Genomic DNA, 23,323 nt, shown 5'->3' with positions numbered 1-23,323 from the left:
GTTAAGTATATTCATGTTGTTGTACAATTATTATTTCTTAAATGTCTTTTCTCAAATCTGTCTTAAAGTCACAAAATGTAAATGACAGATTCAAAGATTTACAGCTGAGACCCTGGAGGTCCAATAATCATAAGCTGGAAGGTTTACTATTTGATGGAGTCCCGATAGCATGGAAATGAGTTTGCCCTGGGATGGTGAAGAACAGCTTCCTGCCTTCAGATTTCTCACCTTCTCCTCTCCCCACCCTAACCAAGGTCTCAGGTACACATGCATGCACACAAAGAAAATGGTTTTATCCTTTCCAGGAATGAAAAATGACCAGAAAGTCCTCTTTGCTTCACGAAGTTCTATGGAAGCAGAAGTGCAACCTGAAATAAAAAAGATGAAGATGAAAGTAGATAGTGTTTACAAAATCTACAGACAAAGAACGACTACTGAGGAAGAGTAAGATGTCAATGTGTTCATTGACACAAATGCTGTTGTATGAACCATGTGTCAACCAAAGGAGACAATTATAATTTCCTTTAAAATATTTTATGCAATATTTGTGGCAAATTAAGTCTTTAGAAAATTGTGCTTGTCCTTCCTGCCATGATTTCTGTAATCTGCATATTTCCTTTCCCTTCATACATTCTTGTTTGTAATTGATTAGGTAGAAGAGGAGGAACTGGTACTGACGTCTTTACATTGAATACCTGGGTCACCTTTAGATCTATTTTCATAGTCCTTTAGGTTTTGGTCATATTACATTGCATTTTTCCTGCCATATGGCTAATCATTTTTTATTAAATGTGAGACACTGTAAAAAATATTCAGAAACAAACTGAGGCCTAGTTGGATGTTATCCTGCAGAAAAAATGGGAGTCTACTTCTGGTGAATGGTCAGGGGTACTAGCAGACCTGGACTCCCTTTATCCAGTCAGCAATTGAGGTCATCAGTGAAGGCTCAGTCCTTATAAAGGCAAATGTATTTCCTGTCCACCTTTATTCCTAGCGTGTGACTCTTCTGGGTCCCAACCAAAGCTACTGGACTTTAGTAGGGGTCACCTTCAATGGAAGACCCTCAACTCCACTTGTTTTCCATCCAATCCCATGCAGTGTGCAAAGGGTGCTCTGCTTCTTTACATCTCAGTAGTCCCTTCTGGAATTAAGCAGTGAAACTCAGGGAAATGGGCCCCGAATGCTGGGCTGACCTTTGTCCTAGGTTTTCTTATCCATCTTGTCCTCATGTCCTTTAATGCCATGTTAGCAATTGGATGCATTCAATCATGTGTTTTATATTCTGTCTGGTGTTCTCCATTGTTCTCGTGGGAGATCAGAAGCTTCAGATGCACTCATCCCCACTCAAAAGCAGAACTTCTCCTTTGCTTTTCTTAAGATTCATGTTTTGTGTTCCTAGTTCTCAAGAGCACAGCAGGGGTAATGATGTTCTCACTGGCTTCTCATTTGCATTAAACTGTGAGCTCCTTTAGGGTGGGAACAAGTCCCTGCTCCCCTTGCATCATCAGTACCTCACAACAAACTCCTTGCTTTGGGCTACTCCAGACAGCATGTGCTGAAGGATGGCTTAGGTATTCAGAAACAAGTGCATTCACTTTCTCTTTAAAGTGTCTTTGTCCCTGTTTCCTAAAGTTTGGCGAATTTTACGTGTCCTTCATATGAAATCAATTCTCAAATGAGATCCTTTGAATCAGAGTCGTGAATGAAGTAGTGTGAGGGCAACACAGCAAACCTATCTTTTTAGGCTATTGCCATTTTCTGCCTCCACTATCGATGAACTGAACCTTGTTAAACTCGATCAACACCAGGGTTGATGGTTTGCAGTTATCACCTATTTCCAGGACATAACACCCTGACTAAGGAGCCACTCAGATTATTTTTGATTCAGTAGATGTGCCCAGCACTCAGATTTACCTTTTCTGTCAACCAGAATCTTTGAAGTCGATGACAAGAGTTCCAATTCTGAATCATGGAAACGTGCAGTGGTGAACTACAGGGTTAATGACACCATATCCTGGAAGGATCTCTCTAAGGCTGATTGTCTGGGTTCTGGCACCAGCCTCTGACTGAGAATCAGGTCTCCCCATGGGAGGAGTCAGACAAAGAATGATCCTCTGCTCCATCCTGATTGATTTAGTTGTGATGAGTTGGTCAGGTCTGGTTTTCCACATTGAACTAAAATGAGCTTTCACTGTGTCAAGCACAAGACTGACCCCAGAAGGACACATAGTGCATCTCATAGAAGCTTTTTATAGTCCTTGATTTACTTACTAGTGAGTAGGAGTATAGAGCTATGAAGAGGAGCTGGAAATTACAGAGGACTTGCCAGCAGGCCAGAGTGTGAATTTTTTTTTTTTTTTTTGTCCCTCAATGGGAGGCTTCCATTCTCCCTCTCATTATGAAGATCTGTTGGTATATATATGGGAAGATTGGCAAAGGACCTTTTAATCACAGTCTTCAGATGCTGGAAGGGAAGAAAGAATCCCACACTGGCTACTGGATCATGTGCATACATTTCTTTCCTTTCTCATCTCAGGAAGCTGAGATGAAAGAACGTGAGCGAGCAGCAAAGGAGAGGCAGTTGTCAGAGGCGCAGGGAAGCTTGAAATTAGTAATTGAGGAAATACACACCTACAAGTGACTTCAGAGACTCAATACCAACCTCTTGGGAAACCCCTGTTGGAGTATTTTGTTTTTAACCTTTGTACAATGTTTATACCCAATTAACACAGAAAGATAAACAAATGGTCAGAAGACATATTGAGAGAGAGAGAAAATTCACACAAGAGAAAACAAAGTACTTTAAGATTTACCAATGACTGGCCAGGCGCAGTGGCTCATGCCTGTATTCCCAGCACTTTGGGAGGCCGAGGCGGGCGGATCATGAGGTCAGGAGATTGAGACCATCCTGGCTAACATGGTGAAACCCCGTCTCTACTAAAAATACAAAAAATTAGCCGGGCGTGGTGGCGGGCGCCTGTGGTCCCAGCTACTCAGGAGGCTGAGGCAGAAGAATGGCATGAATCCCGGAGGCAGAGCTTGTAGTGAGGCGAGATCGCACCACTGCACTCTAGCCTTGGGCAACAGAGCAAGACTCCGTCTCAAAAAAAAAAAAAAAAAAAAAAAAAGAGATTTACCAGTGACCAAAAACTGTGAAGTAATAAAACGTTTCCTGACTCCAATGCTGGGCAGACTGTGTTGAAACTCAGTTTACGCAAACTTTTCTAGGGATGATTGTCATCATCCTTAGGAAAGTGCATTGTTGTAGGATCAATCACATCCTTAAAAAGGACTGTGCCTGTTTATAAGCCCAGTTGTTCTTCCCTGTGAAATATGGTAAGGATATTAGTACAAGGAGAATAGAGATTTATGATAAGTGATGCTCAATGAAGGATAAATTAAGGACATACTGAGAGTAGGTAAGGAAATTGCCAACTCAGAACCCAGCAGGCATTAAATAATAGATAAGGAATCAATATAGCAACAGTTTTTTATAGTACTGTATTTTTATAACCATGTGGAATGCGTTTTCTATCTATGGATAGATTGTGTAAGGGTACAGTTGTGAGGATAACAGGAACATGGCAGTTTATTTAAAATCATACTTAAAATGGCACTTTACCTGATAAAAGTGATTCTAAACCATAGGAAAATGATGGAAGACACAGAAGAGCAGCAGAATTGGGTAGAAGACTACTACAGATGCCAGGTAAGGAGCCTTCTTCCCAGCAGTTGCAGAATCCTTCAGCGCTGATGCAAATGATCTCATGGCCCTTAGACTCCTTAAACATATGGTTTCTCATGTGTTGGCTTTTTCAGATCGCCACTTCTGAAAGAAAGGCTTACGACAACTGGGTAAGTTTTTTTTTTTTCTTTCCTTGCTTTTGGACATAATCTGCCAGGTCAGGACGTGGATGTATTTTTCTCCCCCACAGCTCTGTGTTTAAGCCTCGCAGAGGGAGATGCAAGAGAAGAAGGCTGCCTACAAGCAGCACAGGTAGGTAATTGTGATGGACATTTCTAAGGATGTTTTTGTTTTAAGACAAAGCTTTGAGTATCTAGTAAAGAACTTGGTGTTTTAATTCTTATTTAAGTTCATTCTTTCTCTATCTCCAAGATAGGAAATGATTGAAAAACAGAGAGTGCTGGAGAGACACATTAGTCAGGAGCCAGCTAGTGGACAACCAGGCATAGAGAATCATCCCCAAAGAGGTAGGAGCTCACTGTGAAGGCAGCCATGTAACTTCTGCTGTACAATCCACACACTCTGCTTCTCCTTTTGGGGGTGAGGGGTCAGGGTGGAGGGTAATTGTTATGTTTCCTGGAAAGAGTTTCAAGCACTTACTAAAGAGAGCAGTTGTCTCACTGGGTGTCAGGACACAATTTTCCTCAAATGCCCCAGACAAATGGCTCTCGTCCAGTCCCCCATGAATGGTGGAGCTCAGTCCCCTCCACTGACTGTGGACACCACCCCATCCTGAGCTTTTGGTTACTTTTAACAGAGGTGATGAGCCTAGAAGGGAAATGAGCCAGCTCCACTTCTCACCTTGCGTCAGAGTGAAGGCTTTATTTTTCTTTCATTTGATAAAAGCAACACCAATAACATTTTAGAATTGGAACTGTATGTCCTAATGAGAGAGGAAATTTTATTGCTATGTCTTCATGAATCAATATTGTACAATGAGATATGTTTTAGGAAAAGAGGCATTTATTTACTATTTTTGGAGCATCCTTTATTATTTTTGTTTGTTTAAATTGTTTATTGTGAACTATACAATTCCATTAGTAATAAATTTCTATGCAGTTTTACTCCTCTAACATTTTAAGTGTAACCCTAAAACTTTACAGTTAATTCCCATAGTTCTTACCTTTTCTCATTACTGTTAGTCTCTTTAAGTTATTTCTGTTCATTAATATTTATAATACCTGGTCTGATATGGAAGTTAGATTAAATATGAATCCAAAGAATTGTGAATGTCTCTATGGCTTGAAAAAAAGGAGCAGTGCTATTCCTGTCCAGGGTTTATTGATATTCTTTTTATCCTTGAATGCTCCTATTTTAATTTTTAGTCTGTGCTTAATTTATAAGTAGTTCCCTCTGATATGCACTGGGAACTTCTGATTTACAGTTGATTTCCAGCTAGTTCGAGACCTACCTGTTCGCAGTTAGTTGATTTGTTAAGACCAGGGCTCTGTGGTGTCCTTCTCAAGGACAAGGGTCCAGAGAGTTCCAGGGTCCTCTGTGGCATCTGGTTAATAAAGTCTGTAACTCTGGTAAGGGACCTGACTGTGACAAAGACAGTGACATGGCAGAGGTGGACATGGAGGGATTCTTATTCTGCAAAGAACATGCAAGCCAGAATAAGCCCCGATCCCTTCTCTGGCCCTTAGCAGATTCAGGACCTTATTTGGTTCCCATGAGGAACAGCAGCTGCATCCCAACTGAGAGCACAGAGGAGATAAAGGTAAATGCTGTGGTCATTTTCACTGTGCCTATTTCAGGACACTTTTGTCTTTTCATATAGCACCCTCTCCTGGCCTTGTCTCTGGTTTGTGTGTTCTGTGGTAACTTTTCTGTCTCTTTACTTTTTAAAAAGCAAAATATTCTCCACGAGGCTTCAGTCTTCTCCATTCCCAGCTGGTCATCTTTGGTGGCACTTCCAGAGACCATAAATGCTTAAGGGCCAAAGGCTGAAGAGCTTTAACTGTTCTATTTCCAGAAATAACATGAGAAGATGCCACTTAACTCCACTGCTATCGGTCTCATGGCCCAGTAGACCCTGACTGATCCTTTTTACTCAAGATGTTGCTGGGTCCCCTCCCCAAATATATGGGGATATTTTGTTGCTGTTATTTAATTCTATGGGGTAGGTGACTAACTTTTAGAATATCTGCTGTAACCCCCATAAGTGAAAAATATGAAAACTCATTCATCCAGTATTAATATGTGTTTTGTGCAATTCTGAATGCTCTTTGACAAAGCAAATTCCATAATTCATCACTGTCCCATCTCTCTTGGCAACTTTGCTATGCAAAAATGCCCCGTCTCCATCCAGTGGTGCCCTTGATCGAACATTCTAGTTGTCAGAGGTTTTATATTTGTAATAGAAAATGTACACTGGATGTGAGATAGTGAAGAGTGAAAGTCACTAATTACCTACAAGGACAATTCCCAACAAAGGCCTTAAATTATGGTCAGCTAAGCTGTTTCTCATGTGGTCCCTGTAGCTTTCACAGCTGGTGAGTCCTCCGATCACACATGACAGGATTTCTGCACTTGAAATTAAGTCACGGTTGTTTTAATTCTGTTATTTAGAACTCCCATCTCATTTTTCCATGGACAAAATTGTTCTTTATGTCATAGTGCATTTAAAATTTGGTAATACCTGTGAGTTAAAATAAATATTATAGCTGTGCCTAACTGACTTCTATAGATTAGATTGTTCTATCAGAAAATCCTTTCCCAGTTCCCCTGCAGGACCTCAGTAATTCATATCTCCCCAGAGCTTTTTGTGCCCACAGGTTGTACCTCCAGAGTAGAGAAGACCCTTTGTCAGGAAGGGAGGCAGAGGGGGACAAGAGGGTCTTACAGGTAGAGATGGGATCAATTTCCACTCTGCCTCTTGCAAGCTGTGTGACCCTGGGTAAATTCTCTCCTTCCTCTGGGATCCTCTTTCTTTCGATTTAGTGCAGAGTGGCCACACTGACCTTGCAGCATTCTGAGAATCAGAGATAGGACATAAAAGGCCTATACAAAGTTCTCCCAAGAGTAGCTGTGATTCTTGTATGAATAATGGACTTTTCATTCCTCCTTTTCTTTCTGTTCATCATATGCAAGGAACCAACTTCAGTGATGGTGGTGAGGGAGGGATGGGAGTATACCTGGGCTGGACACTCATGTGTCTGGAATATGCTTTTTTATTACTGTGTAATGGCTCTGTCTTCCCTGGAACAGGACCCAGAGTGCCTGCATTTGCAGACAGACACAGTGGCATGTGGTGACAGCAGGTTATCCTCATGGCTTCCCTTCACACCCCAGCTGTCCTCAGGACTCAGTAGAAGGGAGATTTTTTGGCACTGACACTGCTATTTTGAAATCTGGAGGAAAGAAAGGTGCCAGGGACTGTCACCTGCTGCATGGGGTTGGTGTTGGTGTTGGTGTTTTTGTCCATCATATTAATGCATTTTGAAACTTTTCTTCCTTCTGCTCTGCAGGTCAATATGGCTTTGGGAGGGCCCCTTTTTCAGGATTGCCCTACTTGCTCTACTGCATGGCTGGCTCTTCAGGACCATTTGTGGGCTGCCAGACACCTCCTCTGCCTGGGTGGCCTCTGGGAACACGACCACTGCCTCCATGCACACCACTTGGTATGTTGATCTGAAAAGTATGGACTGACTTTTAAAGCGGATTCATCTTTTTTCTCCTCATTGAATGAGTAGAAAGAAATGTCACAGATGGTACTGCAGGACTTTGCAATACGAGGGTAACACTGGCTGGGGACATGGCTATTTTATTTATTTATTTATTTATTTTTGAGACAGAGTTTCACTCTTGTTGCCCAGGCTGGAGTGCAATGGCGCAATCTTGGCTCACCAAAACCTCCACCTCCCAGGTTCAAGAGATTCTCCTGCCTCAGCCTCCCAAGTAGCTGGGATTACAGGCATGTGCCACCATGCTGGGCTAATTTTTTTGTATTTTTAGTAGAGACGGGGTTTCTCCATGTTGGTCAGGCTGGTCTCAAACTCCTGACCTCAGATGATCTGCCGGCCTCAGCCTCCCAAAGTGCTGGGATTACAGACGTGAGCCACCGCACTCAGTGACGTGGTTACTTTTCTCAAGTTTCTGAGGGCACAAAGTGGGTTGCATCATCTCCCCATCACAAGCAAGGCAGCAGGTATCTCTTGTAGATGAGGAAAGAGATTGCTTATAGAAGCCATAAATACCAATTTTGCAGGCATGTATGGAACCTGGACCATGTGGCCAGCTCTGTGAGGGATGAGACGCACCCTTGACCTGCAGCGCTTCCTATGTCCTACAGCAGAGAGACACACACCAAAGGGCAGGGATCTTGTGACCATCCATAATGGAAGCACGAGTGAAGGGCCCCAGAATGCAAAAGAGGAAGACAGATTCTCCTGGGAATAAAGAGGAGGGCATGGAAGAGAGATAAAGTTGGGAGATGTCACATGGGGGTTTGTTGAACTCACTTAGGTGGAGCTGGAAGGCCACTTCTGGCAGGCGCAAGCAGTGTGAGCAGGAGCGTGGCGGCTGCGTGAGGGCCACAACAGAGCCACTATGGGAGAGCTCAGATGGCACAGTGTAGACAAGAGAATTATCTTTCCCAGAAGTTGCTTGTTGCCCTAAAGCCTTTAGTCCATTATCTGCGGGAAGGATGATTCTTTCCCTGGATGTGTGAAGGCTCTGGATCAGGGTGAATGAATGCCTAGAGGTCTGGGAAATTTAACTTGGTTCTATAAGGGGACCCTATCTGCCTGAGTTTATTATGGCTCAAGGAGACTAACAGTGGTTCAGTGGAGCTGCGGCCTTGGCCTTCAGAATGAAACCGACTCTGCTGGGGAACTGAAGGCCAATCCTGAGCTGCCCTGGCAGGTCGGGTCTCAGCTCATTCCTGGCACCCTCTGCTTCTCACCTCTGACTCCCAGCTTTGCATCTCCAACATTGTCATGCAAAATTGTCACCCTTCCCTCTGTCCCTGCTGTCTGAGCCCAGATACCAACTTTCAGTGGAGCTCAGGGCCTCAGCTTTCTTATAAATGAGCTGGGGATGATGTGGTTTATGAGGTCATTGTGAGGACAAAGAGACCAAGCCCATAAAGGAAGCATTTTCCAAAATAGCTGACAGATGTTAGACACTCACCCCCTCACTGTTTAAATGAAAATATTCCCACTCAGAAGATCATCAAAAGATGTTCATTGAAGTTCATTAGATAAACCATAGGCTGTAATAGCTCAGGCCCAGAGATTTCCAATCCCTGTTTCAAAAGATAAGGCAAAGCCCCTGTCTCCACGATTAAAATTCAGATTCTACCAGATAAAAGAAAAGATAATTATAAGAATGTGTACACAGTTAAACTGTAAGACCTATACCTGAGACCCATAGATAATTGCTTTCCATGGCATATAGACACAGATGCAGCCACACACAGAAGTATTTATCAGGGGCACAGATATTTTATAGAAGACAAAGTGTATATAAGACAAAAGAAGATCACATGGAAATAATTTTTTTTTTTTTTTTGCTTTAAAGGACAAGCTGAAATTTGAAGAGGCCCCTGAGCTGTGACAGCCATGCTGTGGCTCCTACATAACTTGGAAAAGTATCCAATACATTTTACGCTGCCTGCCCAGTGCTGCCTCATCTGTCTCTAATCTTCTGTAGTGTTTCCCCTAATAAAGGTTTGCAGTCCTATCTGTTTGGGCGTCTGTTTTCTGGAGGACCAGATGACCCCCCGGTGTACCAGGTATGATTCCTCATACACTGTTCAAACCCAGGCAGATATTGCAGTGCTGGCTGCAGAAGCAGGGTTGCCCTTTGGGTAGTGTCGACTGGGAGGGCCCCAAGGGGGCTTTCTGGGGTGGGGAAATGTCCCGCATCAAGCCATGAGTGGAGATTGTGCTCATTCATTTTAGAAATAGTCATTGGGCACCTGATGCCTGCCAGTCACAGGGGTTCCTTGTGATAAGATGGACAGGAATGTATCCCCATGAGGTGGCTGATTTATCTTAATAGGGAATAGAAGAGGGACCAGCAGTGGCTGTGGAGCCAGTGATGAGACCCTGCAGAAGCTCAGGGTTTGTCAGAGCCCTATCCCCACTGAACCAGCTGCCCCTAGTAGCACCAAATGCAGGTAGGTCTGACAGAAGCTGAGCGGAGAGCAGACATTTCTCAATAAGTTTTGTGTCCCCCTCACCATCTTTCTATAATTTTCAAATTGTGGGATGTGCAGAGGTCAGTCGTGAGAGGCTCCCTCTGAACAGGGCTGGAAAGGAACACAGAGTGTAGGGGGTGAGGTTTGTAAGAGAAAGGAACAGGCAGAGAGAGAATGGGGGTGGGGAAGAGAAAGGGGGTAGCGGGAAGGGCAGAGAGAGAGAAAGGAGGGGAAAAGGAGGAAGCAGAGAGAAGCAGAGAAAGAGAGAGCAGGGAGCAAAGGCCCAGGTGAGGGGATAGGTTGTATCACTATTATTGTTCAAAGAATTTTTTAATTTCCATCTTGATTTCATTTTTGACCCAATGATCATTCGGGAGCAGGTTATTTAATTTCCATGTATTTCTGTGGTTTTGAGGGTTCCTTTTATAGTTCATTTCTAATTTCATTCCACTGTGGTCTGAGAGAGTATTTTATATAATTTCGATTTTCTTAAATTTACTGAGACTTGTTTTGTGGCCTATCATATGGTCTATCTTGGAGAATGTTCCATGTTCTGATGAATAGAATGTATATTCTGCAGCTGTTGGGTAGAATGTTCTGTAAATATCTGTTAAGTCCATTTATTGTAGGGTATAGTTTAGGTCCACTTTTACACTGTTGGTGGGAGTGTAAGTTAGTTCAACCATTGTGGAAGACAGTGTGACAATTCCTCAAAGACCTAGAGACAGAAATACCATTTGATCCAGCAATCTCGCTACTGGGTGTATACCCAAAGGAATTTAAATCATTCTGTTATAAAGATACATGCATGTGTATGTTCATTGCAGCACTATTCACAATAGCAAAGACATGGAATCAACCTAAGCACCATCAATGACAGACTGGATAAAGAAAATGTTGTACATATACACCATGTAGCCATTAAAAGGAATGAGATCATGCCCTTTGCAGGGACATGGATGGAGTTGGAAGACATTATCCTCAGCAAACTAATGAAGGAACAGAAAACCAAACACTACATATTCTCACTTATAAGTGGGAGCTGAGTGACGAGAACACATGGACACATGGGAGGGAACAACACACAGTAGAGGCTGTCAGAGGAAGGTGTGGCAGGCGAGAGAGCATCAGGAAGAATAGCTAATGGATGCCAGGCTTAATACCTAGGTGATGGGATGATCCGTGCAGCAAATCACCATGGCACAAGTTTACCTATGTAATGAACCTGCACATCCTGCACATGTACTTCTGAACTTAAAATAAAAGTTGAAGAAAAAAAAAGTCATGCGCTTTATTGTGTGAATGTTTTGCCACACTTAAACACATAAATATTATATGTATTATATATATTTAATAAATATAAAATATTAAACAATATATAATATACTTAATAGATATAAAATATTAAACAATATATATTTAAAATGTAAAATTATATATATATATATGTAAATGATCTCTTCTGGAGGTTAAAAGAGGCCAAAGTAAGTAGTGCCTAAAAACAAGGGCTTCTATTGATGGTTTTGGAACCTTACAAATATACTAAAAACCACTCAGGTATATACTTAAAATGGTGAATTTTATAATATATGAATCATATCTCACTTAAAATATTTTAAAGCAAGTAGCTGTGTGACCTTGGCAACTTGTTTAGCTTTTCTACCTTGACTGATTCATTGCACATTCAGCTTATTGTCTTATCATGAGAGAGAAGGCAGGACGAACATTGGGTGACCATGAGCTGTATTGGCTCTAAAGGACTTGGAAGGTCTGGATGGTCCCCACCTCTCCAGTGACTCCTGCATCCCAGCCCCCTGACCCTCTGTAGTCTGTGCATGAACCCTCAGAGGGTTTCTCTAGTGCAACCTGATCTCTTCCACCCAAGATGCCCCGTCCCCTACCTGGTGAACCCTTATTTATCCTTCAGCTCTCAGAACAGGAATTTCTTAGGGAAGATTTTCTTAATTCCGTAAAAGAAGTTAGGTTCTTTGTAATATACCTTCAATGAGTTCTGGTCCTTCACTTCAGATCACTTATTTCTGGTATTGGCTATACTTCTACTACACAATTCTTTGATTAAATCTGCTCTGCTACTCTACAGCCCTGTGAAGGTTGTTGTGGCTTTGCTTATCACGATGTCCCCATGCTTAGGAGAATGTGGGCTTTCCATAAGTGTTCATGGAATGGGTGAGTGAATGAATGAATCAGAAACCAGGCACAGAGAAAGACAGAGGGCCCTCTTACGACTCCTTCAGTTGTTCTGTAGCAGAGTTGTGTTAGAATCTAGGTCATGTGACTTCTAGTCAAAATATCACCAGTCTCACATTTTGTCTAATATTTTAAAACATAAGAGATGATTACTCCTAACCATTACTTTTCTGACCCTATGTACAATGCCCCTGTCTTTCTAAGACTCACACCACTTACCTTTACCACCCTCTACTACTCCTGGTTGCTATAATTTACCAATCTCCCAGTCATTCCTTATCCATTAAAGCCTTCATCACGAGGTTCATGATCTTTCCTTTACTCCACGTCCCACCATCATCCTGAGTGCCTCCTACATCTATATGAATGACAAGTTCTACCCTCTGGTCTCTTCATTTATTGACCCTGATCTCTAGGGAGTGTCATGACACTTAATCCACCTGTGGCTATACTCTTGTGTTAGCATCACCTGCAAATGTTCTACCTCTGAAATCTTAAGTCTATGTATCTCACTGTTTGACCACTGCTGCTATGGACTAAATTGTATCTCTCCCAAATCCATGTGCTAAAGCCCTTCTCCTCACTGTAATGGTATTTTGAGATGGGGCTTTTGGGAGGTAATTGGGTTTAGATGAGGTCATGTGAGTGATGCCCTCATGATGGGATTCCTGCCCTCATAAGAAGAGACACTGGGCACGGTGACTCGTGCCTGTCCTAAATACTCTGGGAGGCTGAGGCAGGAGGATCACTTGAGGCCAGGAGTTTGAGACCAGCCTGGGCAACATAGTAAGACCCTGTCTCTACTAAAAAATATATAAATAATTAGCCAAGTGTGGTGGTGTGTACCTGTAGTCCCAGCTGCTTGGGAGGCTGAGGTTGGAGAATCACTTGAGCCCAGGAGTTTGAGGCTGTAGGGAGCTATGACTGCATCACTGCACTCCAGTTTAGGCAATAGAGCAAGACCCTAACTCTTAAGAAAAAAAAAAAGTAACAACAACAAAACAGAGAAAGAGACTTTTTGCTCTCTCTCTCTCTTTCTCTGTCATGTGAGAATACCACCAGAGGTTAATAGTCTGCAACTCAGAAGAGGGCCCTCCCCAGAACCTGACCATGCTGGCACTCTGATCTTGGACATCCAGCATCTACAACTGTGAGTAAAATAAATTTTGGTTGTTTAAGCCACCCAATCTATGATATTTTGTTACAGCAGCCTAAAACAACTACCTTCAGTCATTCCAGCTCCATTGACATCCCCAGTGCTTTGCCTTCACACAACTTATCTGCCTTTTCTTGAATTCTCTTCCTTCCCCAGTCAGCTTAGTTTCTTAGTCTTTCATCTTAACTATTTTCTTTCCAATATCACTAGATCCCTTGCCCACTGCCCTTTTATTGGATCTTCTTGGCACAACTTTAATCCTGCTTCAATCCAACTGTTTACTTTCACTATGCTTATATCTGTATTTTAGAGTGATATTGGAGAAAATCACATAACTACATAGATTAGTGACTTTGAAAATGAATGCTCAGCAACCTCAAATGTGATCTTATAATTACCCATTTCTCCTTTATTTTCGCAATCTGCTCTTTCTTCCATATTCAGCAATGATCATTTTAAACATCCTCCACTCAGAATTCTATCACATCATTTTCACATTCTCGTCAGGTGACATTGCCTCATACTTCACAGAGTAAACAGGAATTGTCAGGTGGAAACTAGCTCAACTTCCTGCTGTGAAATCTGTAAGTTTATAAGTTATCTGTACTTGTAATTCTTTGTCTTGCAATGGAAGGGGGGTCCCTTTAGATTAAAGCAATTCCTTTTCCCGTGCTTCATATCCAGTTCTGCATTTCTAGTGTGTGCTAGTGATTTGACAATGTGCTTACACAGTGAATGGACAAGTTTGGTTTCTGGCTGAATGGTGAATCAGCATCAACCTACAGTTGCTGTCTTCCCATAGCCTTCATAGATGTTCAATTTAGTGATGTGTTTCCAGTCCTCAATCACCCCAGGGCTGATGGATCCTCCTACAGACACACAAAGCTTCAGACTCTTGAATCTGTAGCTGGAGAGGCATCAAAAGTTGTTCTTAGCCTTAGTGAATATTTCTACCAATAACAGGTCTGTTGTGAGAAAGAAACTTGCAAAAATGATACAGATATTGCCAAACATATAGGAGGTACTCATTAAGTGGTAGTTTATGTTCTTATTACTAGTCTTTTAGATAATCTATTCAGACATCTCAGTTACATCAGTCTCTATGAAGATTCATTTACTCTTCTGGACAAGAAGTATTAATGCTAAAAGTAAGTAAGTATTAACTGATGGTAGGAAGCCAGCCTTCTGTAGAAACCCTTCTGAGTTCTATTATCACCCCAAAAACCTTACCTGTGCATGAAGAATGTGTCAGCAATGGTAAGGTAAAGAAGGAACTAATTTTCTGAAGTCTGGGGATGGAGAGACAGCCACCAATTTTACAAACTGGGCTGAAAGTCTCTGGATATATGAGAAGTTTCCATAGGGCCCCAGACATAGATAAATAGTAGCGAACACTTTTTATAAACCCACAATTCATTTTATGTGTATTTTATTTTGGTGATGGTAGAAGGGTCCAGTGTGGGAAGATGATTAGAGCAAACCTCTTCATGGTCTCAGATAGAGATAGAATGACTATGTATTTTGAACACAAGAGTGTCAATTAATTGTTATGTGGTAGCTCATCTGTATTAGATAATACCTGACCTGCCCACCGAGTTAGGTCTTGAGACTAAGAAAGATCAGAATTGGAGAACTGTTTCTGAGTTAATTCCAAAGGCACCATTTTATCATTGCCTTTTTATTATTAATTTAAGGGTACAAGTGAGAGTTGACTATTTGTAAAATTTTAAGTCCTTTTCTATCAAGAGTATAAGAAATAATCTGTCTGGGCACAGTAGTTCATGACTGTAATCCCAGCATTTTGGGAAGCAGAGGTGGGAGACTTGCTTGAGCCCAGGAGTTCAAGACCAGGCAACATAGTGAGGCCAGGTCTCTAGAAAAAATGAAAACAAAAAACATCCAGGTGTGGTGGCATGTGCCTGTAGTCCCAGTTACTTGGGAGGCTGAGATGGGAGGATCCCTTGAGCACCTCAGCAGCCTGGGCAACAGAGCAGGTCCCTGTCTCAAAAAAAAGAAAGAAAGAATCTGAACATTTTATATGGGATGGCATGTTGATGAATAAAGATATACTGTATTTTAACTTAATTATTTTTAATTGCTCCATAAAATGCCAATGAACTAGGCATTTATGTCATCATAATTTAATACGTTGCTATTCTTTCCTCCCACAAATGCTCCCTTCAGAGAGTATATGTCCTTGCTCACACAGCTAAAGTAAAATTTAGAGTTAAATAATTATTTAGCAAACTCTAAGGCATGATACAATGCTTTGGAACCTGTGCTTTCTCATTAATCTTTAGTGATGATTAATCTGGGCATCACCCAGACTCCACAAAACATTGGCAGTTCCACTTCTCAGTGGTTACTCTAGAGAATTCTAGGATATGTGCAAAGATTCTTATTTCAGCAGCTTGGAAAAGATTCGAGTATCCTTGATAGGTACTTGGGGCTCATTAACATATAATTCATTCATACTAAGGAATACTATGCAATGATTAAAATATATTACACATATTATCATAAATAGAGCTCTAAGGAACAGTGTGGAGTGAAAATGCAGGTTTTACTATGATATACATAGTATGATACCATCTATATAATCCCATCCCAATATTTCAGTATATTGCAATGAAGATGGGTAGATAAATATAAATTTATTTTTAAAAGGCCTAAAAGGATTTATATCCAATAAGGAAGGTGGTCTTTGTTTTTAATATTTACCTTATTTATAGGTAATGTATTTGTCTTTAATGTTTATCTTTTTAAAGGGAGGTGTAATTACAAATTGATTAAACAAACTCAACCTTATGATTATAATTTAGTTCTATATTCTGGACTCCTGTGGAGCCAGAAGATACGGCTTTGAAAAGTCACAAGAGAATAAAAAAATCCCACACTCTAATGAAGTTATTGTCATAAATGGCAACAAGATAGGTGTGTTAATGAAAGATAGGATTGGATCTACTTCAACAAACTGAGGATTCCTAATCTTATTTATGATACCGTGAGTGGAAATGGACTCTCTCCTGAAAGATCCTCTCTTACCTGGCGAAACACTTGTGCTGAAGCAGTTCCTGGTACATCAGTGGATTTGCAGATAGAGTGGTGACGGAAGACCTGGACAGAGCCTGGGACCCCAAGGAAGAAAAAACCAAATCTATATGTTAAGTAGGAAAGACAGTTGAGACCGTGGCGGGGGAAGGTCCAGGGAAGGCCACTAACTTTGAGACTCGGCTGGGTCATGCCATTTGTCTTGGAGATTTAGTGATTCCTCACCCTCCAGACCTTGGGAGATAATTTAGCTTTAGCTGTGTGAACCTAGCAGCTATCATGTTATTCACTGATATCTGAATAGATACACAATGAGGCATTTACTTCTGGATCCCAGAAGCCTTGTTTTGATCTTTGTTGCTTTGAATAATAAGCCTGGATATTGCCAGTAAAATTGTGGATTGTGGAGGCACTTAAGAGGTTAGCACAACAGTTTAGAGATTGTGCTGTGGAGTCCAATAGACCATGATTGCTTAATGTCTAATTCCACCTCTGTGATTCCTTGGACTAGGTACTTATCTTCTATGAGACTCAGTTTCCCCAGTTTTTCCCTTACAGGGTTGTTGGAGAGATGAAATGAAATAATGCATATGAAGTACCAGTGGATAGTCAATGAATAGTAACTGATATTAATATTGTCTTCTTCAATGTCATTATTGTCCTTTAAAAGTTTTCTTTTCAGGCCAGGCACGGTGGCTCACACCTGTAACCCCAGCACTTTGGGAGGCCAAGGTGGGTGGATCACCGGAGGTCAGGAGTTCAAGACCAGCCTGGTCAACATGGTGAAAGTCTGTCTCTAGTAAAAATACAAAAATTAGCTGGGCGTGGTGGCGGGCACCTGCAATCCCAGCTACTCGGGAGGCTGAGGCAGGAGAATCGCTTGAACCCGGGAAGCGGGAGGTTGCAGTGAGCTGAGATCACGCCATTGCACTCCAGCCTGGGTGACAGAGCAAGACTCTGTCTCAAAAAAAAAAAAAAAAAAAAAAGCTTTCTTTTGAGTGCTACAACTGAAGTAGCCAAGTCCTCCTAATTCCAAAGGCCCTAGAGAAGTGAGGGGGCATTGCTCTCAGAAGTAGGGAGAGCATCTTTAAGTCAAGATCACATTCCGAATTTAATTCTTGATTTGCCCCATTTGGGGCATGAGCCACTGAGCCATTGCTAATGCCTCTTTCTGGCCTCTGCCCCACATGTCCCACAACAAGGACCTGGTCTTACATTTAGAACAGTCTCGGGACAGAAAATTGGCATGTGACACAGAAACACACAGGCTCCTTGGAGCTGAGCTCCCAAGGCAGTACTTAAAGATCCATCAAAGGCATCACTTACACCAAAAAATATTTGTTGGCTGGAGATCCATCCACCATCTAAAGAGGAATAGGAAAGCCATTTGGATTTTCTCATGTTGGTACTAGCAACAACAATAATACTTGCTATTATCAAGTACTAATCTGTGGAGAGAAACAAGGACCACCCAAATGAAAACAAACAAAGGCTATGAGGCCAGGAGGCTAATGGAGTCTCCTTAAATTCTGTGAGTATCACTTAATTGGTATGATATTGCCTTCCAGGATTCATGGCTTTCAGGGGTCTCTGAAGTGTTCTAGTAAGCACTTTTATTAATTAATTAATTGAATAAATGAATGATCTCCTAAACCATTTTAATAAATGAGTTAGAATAGTTTCTCCTGTTCTAATTCTCTACCTGATATCCACTGGCCATTATAGCTTATGAGAGTCAAAGCCTTTGAGGTGAGTATGAACATCACATACACCTGTTTCCCCTAAGGAAGCTTTGAGTAGAGTTTGTTAAGAGAACTTGAGTGTGGAGTCACAACACACAACCATTTATCTTAGGCAGAATTGAATGTAAGGTTGAGAAACTTAACCACAGACAAACCAAACTAAAACAAATGCAACCCAATTAATTACTTAATTGAGTGTTCAACCAAAGAGATTGAAATCAGTTTCAGCATCCCTTGAATTTGCCAAGAGAGACGTTTACTTCTGAACCCCAGAAGCCTTGTTTTGATCATTGTTGCTTTGATTAATAAGCCTGGATATTGCCAGTAAAATTGTGGCAATTTTACTGATGCTAGAAAGAGGCATTAGCATTGGCCCAGTGACTCATGCCCAAAAGTATTCGTGAGCTACTTAAATAATTTTTTTAAGGGGTAGTGTGATGACATGTGATTCTCATCTTAGAATCTGACTCTAGAACCCCAAACCCTCATAAATTGTGACTCTATCTCTGTGTTTATCACTACATATAGGGGTCAACACAATTATTCACCCCGGTGCTGGTAGCACTGAAGAACAAGTAACATCCAACGGTGCGTCTTTGGGATAATCATCCTGGATCCCTCCTCAACTGCATGGATTCACTGCTCTTCCTCTTTTTACCGTGTACTCTTAGATTTTTGATCTATAGTAATCTACTTTCGATCCTTTGGTGTACACCCTCCCACCCTGCTTTCAGCCCTGTTCCTTCTCTCAATATTGATGTTTTCTGCAATCTTGAGTAACGAACTCTTTTTTTTAGCTTTAGTCTCATGAAACTCTCCCTTTACCACTCCAGAGAAGAGCTTTCAAGCCTGAATAGGGTGTGTGAGGACTATATCTGGAAGGCTGGCTGAAATCCATTCCCAAATCATACTGGGAATACTCGGCCAGTTTGGAAACTCCCATTGTCCCTTTGGTGAAGAATATAGCCATTGGATGTTGACTTTTGGTCCCCATGAAGGTCTGCTTTGGAGGTACAACTCTGTAAATTGCAAAAGATGCAACAGCAAGGTTCTAAATTTAGGTTCTCTGACTTAGAGCCTAGGCTCCTGGTTTGGTAATCTTTGATTTTTTAAAATAACAGCTAGTATCTTGGTATATTGGGTGATGATTTGTTAGAGGTGCAGCTGCCATTTTTTCCCTTAATTTTTTTGCATTAATTTCTGTTGGATAAGTAATATATGATGCCTTTATGTTCCAGCCTTATTTTTCTCAGTAAAATACCCTCTATTTACTCAATTGCTCAAGGCAAAAATCTGTAGTAATCCTTATTATCAGTCTTTCCCTATGTATCTACTTATCTACCCAGCTATCTATGCCACATCCTAACCACTGGCAAGCCCTGACAACTTTACCTCTACAACGTGTCACAAGTCTGTCTCTCTTCATTATCTGTACTCAGGGCTGGGACTAAGGTGGAGCAAGTGAAACATTTGTGACAGACATGATATTTAAGGGGATACCAGCAAATTCAGTAGTCAAGATAAATAATATTTTAGTGAAATATTTTTAAAATAATCAAAACTGTCAAAAATTAATAATAAAATATCCAAATTTAATTAAATTAATTAATTTATTTATTTTTGTGTTGGAGTCTTGCTCTGTCATCCAGGCTGGAGTGCAATGGTGTGATCTCGGCTCACTGCAACCTCCGCCTCCCGAGTTCAAGCAATTCTTCTGCCTCAACCTCCCAAGTAGCTGGGACTACAGGCACCTGCCAACACACCCAGCTAATTTATATATTTTTAGTAGAGATGGGGTTTCACCATGTTGGCCAGGCTGGTCTTGAACTCTTGACCTCAAGTGATCTGCCCGCCTCGACCTCCCAAAGTGCTGGGGTTACAGGTGTGAGCCACCGTGCCCAGCCACAAAATTTAAAATAAGTACATGACAATGAATGCTCCCAAAGTGGCCAAGTATACCCAATACGATTTAGGAATGGGATTCAGCCAAGCCAGCTTCAAAGTATAGTTCTCACACAGCCTGTAATCCAACCAGGCAGTTGCATGACTCACCTTACTTGGTCACCCTAATGTTGTCTCTGGTTCCAATAAGATTGTATTTATAAAAATAGAAGCAGGTGATCTGTCAGCAGAAGTTTGCCAATATGATTTTATTAATTAAAAAAATTAAATTATTGTATTAAAAGCATAAAATTTATGAAATTATAAATTATAAACAGATGATATAAATATATAAAATAAATATGTAAAATTATATACAAATTTTTAAACTTCAATTATGAAAATTATTTTATAATTTGATTTTTAAAATGTATTTGAAAATTAAAATATTATTTCTCTTGATCACTGGATTTTTCAGTGCCCCTTTACATTTTGTGCCTGAGACGAGTTCCTTATTCGCCTTGCAAATTCCCAGTCCTGTGTCCACTGCCACCATCATGGTCCATACCAACACGGCTTCTCACTTAAACGACTGCACTGGCCTTCTGCCAGGTCCTTTACTACCTGTCTTGTCTCTCATTGTTCAGACAGCAGTTGAAGGAGTTTTTAAAACGTCACTCAGATCAAGTCCTTCTCCTCCACATTCCACAGACATTTCCTACATAACCTACAAGACCCGCTGTAATCTCGCTCTCCCTTGCTATTCAACCTCCTCTCCTCCTACTCTCTTTTCCACTCACCACACTTCAGGCACCCTGGTATTCTTTCTGTTCCTCAAACAAGTCAAGCTCTTTCCCACCTCAGGTCCTGTACCTTAGTATTCTCTCTGATATTATTCCTACAGATATTCAAAAGGCTGGCTCTATAGTATTCAAGTCTCAGCTCATCCTCTCCTAAGAAGCCACCAAATCTAAGATAATTCCCCCATCTCCACATGAGATCACTCTATTTAATTTGCCTGTTTTTGTTGGGAGTTTCTTTTGGAAACTGTATTATCTTGATCATTTATGTGTTTTCTTGTTGTCCATTTTGTTGTCTAGAATATAAAATCCATGAGGATAGGGGCTTTGTCTGTCTTGTTCATGGTTTTTTTTTTTACATCTCTGGACACTAAAATATTACTCTCTAAAGATGGCATTTATAATTATCAAACTTAATACAGTAGTCCCACCTTATCCCTGGGGGATATGTTCCAAGACCCCCAGTGAGTGCCTGAAACCACAAATGGTACTGAACCCTATATACACTATCTTTTTTCCTAAACATGCATACTTATGATAAAGTTTTATTTATAAATTAGGCACAGTAAGAAATTGAAAACAATAATTAATAAAATAGAAAAATTACAACAATATACTGTAATAAAAGTTGTGTGAATGTGATCTCTCTCTCTTTCTCAAAATATCTTATCGTACTGTACTCAACTATTTTGGACCATGGTTGACCACATGTCACTGAAACCACAGAAAACAAAACCACAGATAAGGGGAGACTACTGTATTTGGCTAACCTGAGGATAAACATGGCATCATGTTGTTTTAATATGTATTTTCTCATATCCCAGGGCCAGTGGGTTTTTTTTTATTTGTATAAATTTAAGGGATACAAGTGCAGTTTTGTTACATAATGGTGAAATCTGGGCTTTTAGTGTAACCATCACCAAAATAGTGTACATTGTACCCATTAAGTAATTTATCATTCTTCACCCTCTCAAAACCTCCCACCTTTGCGAGTCTCCAGTGTCTATTATTCTACACTCTATATCTGTGTGTACACATTATTTAGTTCCCACTTATAAGTGAGAACATGCAGTATTTGACTTTGTATTTCTATTATTTCATTTAAGATAATGGCCTCCAGTTCCATCCAACTTGCTGCAAAAGACATAATTTCATTCCTTTTAATGACTGAATGGTATTCCATTATATAATTTTGTATATATATAAGCTTTTTATTATGTTTTGTAATGTGTTTATATTTTTATCACCTATTTTTTTACCATCTCAGAATGAATGGTCAAGTATGAATCAGAAGATGAGACGTTCACTCAGACTGAGAACTTGTAGGCCAGATCAGGGATTCTTCTGTTGAGGGTGTTGGGGAGTTACTCTGTTTTGTTTTTTTTTTCAGGACTAGAAATTACCATTAAGCTTCTCATTACAACCACTCACACCACCTTCTCATACAACATTCTATCTTCCAAAATCAGACATTTTCTTGATTTAAGTTTCTCATTTGCAATGTCCACTTACTGAATCAGCTCCTTGAAATCCAACCACCCATCATAGCACTTATCTGACACCAGGAGCTTGGTCTTCAAGGTAGGGCAGTCAAACATGGCAGAGACCATGACTGGGAACATAGCCTCACTCGCACCAAAGCATTGGGCTTTAGACACGTGTAATTGTTAGCAAATTTCCTTGGCAGTCAGCTGGAGACTCCCAGGCACAAAGATGATTCCTGAAAAGGTCTCAAATAATGCTTCATACATATCTTTTGAGCAGAGAATATTTCCTCAAACATCCCGGAAGGCACAGATGAGGTCTCTGGAATACCCTTTCTCTTGGGAGTTTCTCCTCTGTACTGGGGAAGCAACATGATGGTGGCTGAGGAAGAACTGAGACATGCAGGAGACTGAGCTCATTGAAACAATCCAGTGATCAGTGGCTCTGCTGCTGTTATCCTTTCCCCTCGAGCAGTCCTAAATTTATATGGTTAGGCTTCAGACCACTAGTTACTTGAAATGTAGCCTGATTTTGAAACTGTGATGCAAGGGGGTTGTGAAAACTTCCCCTTTGTTGTTTCCTCCTGGCTTGAGAATGGCTTGTGCTATGGATTTCTGGATTTGCATTGGAGACGAAAAACAACAACAACAACAACAACAAACAACTTCCGGCCTTTGGCTGTTTCTGTAGATTCTTTTGCATCCATCTAACACCTGTTGGGGGCCTTCTATGAGACTGGGACATGCTGGGTGCACTTGTGTGCCAGAGGCTGTTCTAACAGAGGCTTCTCTTCACTTTTCAAGCTTGGAGAACTAGAATACTTCTAGGAGCAACTGATGATGACATTGCTTGTCTTTCAATGCTTACACTCCCTACTATAGATATACTGATTATGGAAAAGGATCTAGTTAACCAGTACAGGCCTTTCCCACATACCCTACCTTTATCTTCTGCTTCTCAAATTGAAATTCTTGGGCACCATAAAAAAGTCATTTTTCATAATAGCCCAAATGTGCAAACAATCTAAACAATCTAAATATCTATTGACTGATGAATTGATAAACTTTGCTATTGGCCTCCAGCTCCTTGCCCTGGTAACTTTCCTTAGTT

General features: G+C 40.9%; 1 long non-coding RNA gene and 1 pseudogene across 1 annotated transcript in view; one reads left to right on the top strand and one right to left on the bottom strand.

Moving 5' to 3' along the window:
* Positions 1–9,430, top strand: part of LINC01284 (long intergenic non-protein coding RNA 1284) — a 75,586-nt gene extending 66,156 nt beyond the window's left edge. Inside the window, exons 4-9 of the long non-coding RNA NR_110382.2 lie at positions 3,649–3,709; positions 3,820–3,855; positions 3,936–3,997; positions 4,118–4,212; positions 7,216–7,368; positions 9,269–9,430. This is a non-coding gene — a long non-coding RNA (long intergenic non-protein coding RNA 1284). The remainder of the gene's footprint in view (positions 1–3,648; positions 3,710–3,819; positions 3,856–3,935; positions 3,998–4,117; positions 4,213–7,215; positions 7,369–9,268) is intronic.
* A 4,598-nt stretch (positions 9,431–14,028) lies between these two features.
* On the bottom strand, positions 14,029–22,479 carry LOC101060199 (acyl-coenzyme A synthetase ACSM6, mitochondrial-like; annotated as a pseudogene).
* Positions 22,480–23,323: the final 844 nt, after the last annotated feature.

The sequence above is a fragment of the Homo sapiens genome, chromosome X (genome assembly GCF_000001405.40).
Source record: "Homo sapiens chromosome X, GRCh38.p14 Primary Assembly".
NCBI lineage: Eukaryota > Metazoa > Chordata > Mammalia > Primates > Hominidae > Homo > Homo sapiens.
This window is presented reverse-complemented; position numbering and strand designations above follow the sequence as displayed.